Source organism: Homo sapiens, chromosome 10, assembly GCF_000001405.40.
Source record: "Homo sapiens chromosome 10, GRCh38.p14 Primary Assembly".
NCBI lineage: Eukaryota > Metazoa > Chordata > Mammalia > Primates > Hominidae > Homo > Homo sapiens.
In genome coordinates this window covers 64,983,622-64,987,910 of record NC_000010.11, presented here as the reverse complement: position 1 = coordinate 64,987,910, position 4,289 = coordinate 64,983,622, and positions in this window count along the sequence as shown.

Below are 4,289 nucleotides of genomic sequence, written 5' to 3'. Positions count from 1 at the left end.
CAAAAGGTAACATTTTGTATGATTGCATTTATAAGACATTCTGGAAAAGTGCTATTCAGAGACCTTGCATGGGGGGAAGTGTTGACAGCAAACTGGAGGCACAATTGTTGTAGTGATAGAACTATCCTGCCTTATAAATGTTTGGTGGATTTATGGCTGTATGTATATATGTCAAAACGTAGGGATTTGTAGGCCGTAAAGATAGAATTTTAGTGTGTGTAAATTAAAAAACACCATTTTGGATATTGAAGGAACCCAAACTGTATTCCAAAATTGAATAGAAACTTTAACAAATAATTATTTTGGCCGGGTGCATTGGCTCACGCCTGTAACCCCAGCACTTTGAGAGGCCGAGGCGGGTGGATCCAAAGGTCAGGAGATCAACACCATCCTAGCTAACACAGTGAAACCCGTCTCCACTAAAAATACAAAAAATTAGCCGGGTGTGGTGGAGGGTGCCTGTAGTCCCAGCTACTCGGGAGGCTGAGGCAGGAGAATGACATGAACCTGGGAGGTGGAGCTTGCCATGAGCCGGCATCTTGCCACTGCACTCCAGCCTGGATGACAGAGAGAGACTCTGTCTCAAAATAATAATAATAATAATAATAATAATTTACAATTTTACTCTTGTAAATACACTCGAGGAAGTAGGGAAGTAAAAAATATAATCCAAGTTACTTTGAAAAACAGTATTTTGAGTAGCTGATATAACACAAAGAACAAAGAAGACTGCAAAAGTTTGTCTTCTGAGAGGGTCTAGATATAGTGAAATTCCACTAGTGGTTTCTAAGTCACATTTTCAAATAAAATGAACAAGCATTCCTTGAAAGAGTAGTTAATTCCAGAGTTCAGACAGAAAAAATTCATAATGATCCTGGAGAATGTTGTGATGCCAGAAAAAAGGAAGTGCACAATAAAGAATGGGTATCTCGAAAGAGCACAGGAACCAAACTAAAGAATTTCCAACATGGACATAAAGATGGAGACACGTGACTCTAGGGACTCCAAAAGGGTGGAAGGTGAAAGAAGCATGAGGGTAGAAAAATTACCTATTTGATACAATGTTCAATATTCGGGCAATAGGTACTCTTGAAGCCCAATCCCTACATGTAATATCCATGTAACATATGTACCCCCTGTATCTAAAATAAAATTTTTTGAAAAGAATTTCCAATTACCAAAGCTGAAATAATTTGACAAAAGGAACAATAACCAAATTGAATAATGATGATTTATAACCTGCAGAATAAAATAAATAATCATGAGTTCTTACTACTAAATAAATAAATAATAAAATAAACAAATGAGGGAGAAGGGACAGTTTATCCTAAACAAAGAATTTAAATTATTAAATGTAGAATGGAAAAAAAAGATTTTTTGAAAACTACTCTAAAATATCTTCGTAATAACTGCTGCAGTCAAGATCCACTGCTACTTAAATGCAAACTTTAGTGATTAAAATATTGAGGAAAAATAGGATACTTGCAGAGCACAAACTATCTCCCCCAAGATATGTATTAATTAATTACAAAGGAGAAAATAATGACTTTTTAGTGAAGAAAACTGACTGAGACCACCTTAACCAGTGATTGTGGTTAGCATCACCAGTAATAAGACATATTAACAACATAAACTTAAATACATTACACTGAGGAGGGAACAACACTTGTGTAATATGCTTGTCAAAAGTAAAAAACCTCTATCTACATGAGAAAACATCCAGCAAACTCAAATAAGGGAACATTCTACAAAATAACCAACAATTACACATCAAACGTGTCAAAGTCATAAAAGATAGATACTGAGGAATTGCCACAGATTGGAAGAGACTAAGGATACATGACAACTAAATGCAATGTAAAATCTTGGATTAAATTCTATAACAGAAAAAGGATACTAATGGAAAAACTGGTAAAAATCCAAATGAAGTCTATAGGCTGGTTAATAGAATTGTACTCATGTTAATTTGTTAGTTTTAGTAATCACACTATGTTTATGCAATATATTAACATTAGAGAAAGGTGAGTAAAGGGCATATTTAAACCGCATTATTTTTGTCACTTTTTATAAATCTAAAATAATTTCAAAATAAAATTTAAAAATTTGCTTTAGCATTTTTATGAGTATCAGTAATTGAATTTAGAAGGTAATTATGTAGAAATTTGGTGTATAAATATATTTTTGTCATCAGTATGAAGGGCCTTCAAAAAGTTTATTAAAACATGAAATTAAAGGATAAAAAGAAAAAATATATGTTTTATTTCTCAACATACACTCCATCAAATCAAGACACTTGTGGAAGCAATGATACCAGTTTTGAGTCCATTGCTAAAAAACTGAGGTTCTAGGAACTTAACCATATCAATGCAGTATTCTTTATGTTATTAACTAAAGAAAAATGGGTGATTTTTTTAAAGATTATAAAAAAATACAGATCAGAAGTTGCCAAATAAGAACTAGATGGTGGATGCTTAATAATTTCCATCTAAATTATTGCAAAATTGCCTTTGTTTAATGAGAGGAATGAGCAGAAGCATTGTCATTGAGAGGTGAAGCCTGCTGGACTTCCTGGGTTGAGTGGGGACTTGGAGAACTTTTCTGTCTTACAAGAGGATTGTAAAAATGCACCAATCAGCACTCTGTAGCTAGGATTGTAAATTGCACCAATCAGCGCTCTGTAGCTAGCAAGAGGATTGTAAATTGCACCAATCAGTGCTTTGCAAAAACACACCTATCAGCACTCTATAGCTAGCAAGAGGATTGTAAAATGCACCAATCAGTGCTCTGTAAAATGCACCAATCAGGGCTCTGTAAAATGCACCAATCAGCGCTCTGTAAAACGTGCCAATCAGCAGGATCCTAAAAGTAGCCAATCACAGGGAGGATTGAAAAAAGGGCATTTCTGATAGGACAGAAACGGAACATGGGAGGTAACAAACAAGGGAATAAAAGCTGGCCACCCCAGCCAGCAGAAGCAACCCTCTCCAGTCCCCTTCCACGCTGTGGAAGCTTTGGTCTTTTGCTCTTCAAAATAAACCTTGCTACTGCTCATTCTTTGGGTCCACGCCATCTTTAAGAGCTGTAACACTCACCGTGAAGGTCTGCGGCTTCATTATTGAAGTCAGCAAGACCACGAACTCAGCGGAAGGAACCAACTGTGGGCACATCAGGGTGAAAAAGGAGTCTCTGATGAAGCTTTCTTGTGTGTTTTCATGCTGAAACTTTGGCTAACTTTCTCAAAACACTTTCATAATAAGCAGATGTTATCATTATTTGTCCCTCCAGAAAGTCAGCAAGCAAAATGCCTTGTGTATATCAAAAACCTGTTGCCATGACTTTACTCTTGACCAGTTTGCTTTTTCTTTGACCAGATCACTTCTACCTCTTGATAGCCATTGCTTTGATTGTGTTTTGTCATCAGGATTATACTGGAAAACTCATGTTCCATCTACTTTATAATTCTTTGAAAAAATGCATCAGAATATTAATGTCAATTGTTTAAAATTTTCATTGATAGCTCTGCTCATGTCTGCAGCTGATCTTGGTGCAGTAGTTTTGGCACCCATCAAGTGGAAAATTAATTCACCTTCAATTTTTAGTAAGAATTGTGTACAATGAACAAATAAAGATGTCTATAGTGTTGGTTATTGTTTGTACTGTTAATTTTAGATCCTCTTCAATTAGGACATGAACAAAATTAACTTTTTCTCAGAAATTGATGTACATAGTTTACCACTGCAGGCTTCATCTTCGATGTTGTCTTATCTTTTCTTAAGATGAGTATTTAAAAATCATCATTTGTAAGATGCTGATTTATTTGGAGCATTGCCCCCATAAACTTTCCATAAAGCATCAGTGATTCCACCATTTTTGCACACCAGCTTCACCATAAATTTGATGTTTTTCTTGTTTAAATTTTAGCAGAATTTATGTTGCTCTGATAGGAGTTTATTTTGAAATGATGTCTTATCCTTCCTAGTGCCTCAAACTAGATCTTGTTTGAATGTGTTATAACAAATTACTACAAGTTTATTTTGGTGCAAAAAAATAGAAATCCATGAATAGGTTTTGTATATTATGCATTTTTCATGAACTCTTTGAAGACTGTTGTATATCAAATATATGTAATGTATATTTATATAATGTATCAAATTTGTAATAAATAGACTATATATACTGTACCAGGAAAGATGCAAGAGAAAAATAGAATTATAAGGTATGTCATCTGACAGAGTTATGGGGCTCATTGATCTAAGCAACATAGAGTGACAGGGTGGACAAAATTAAAA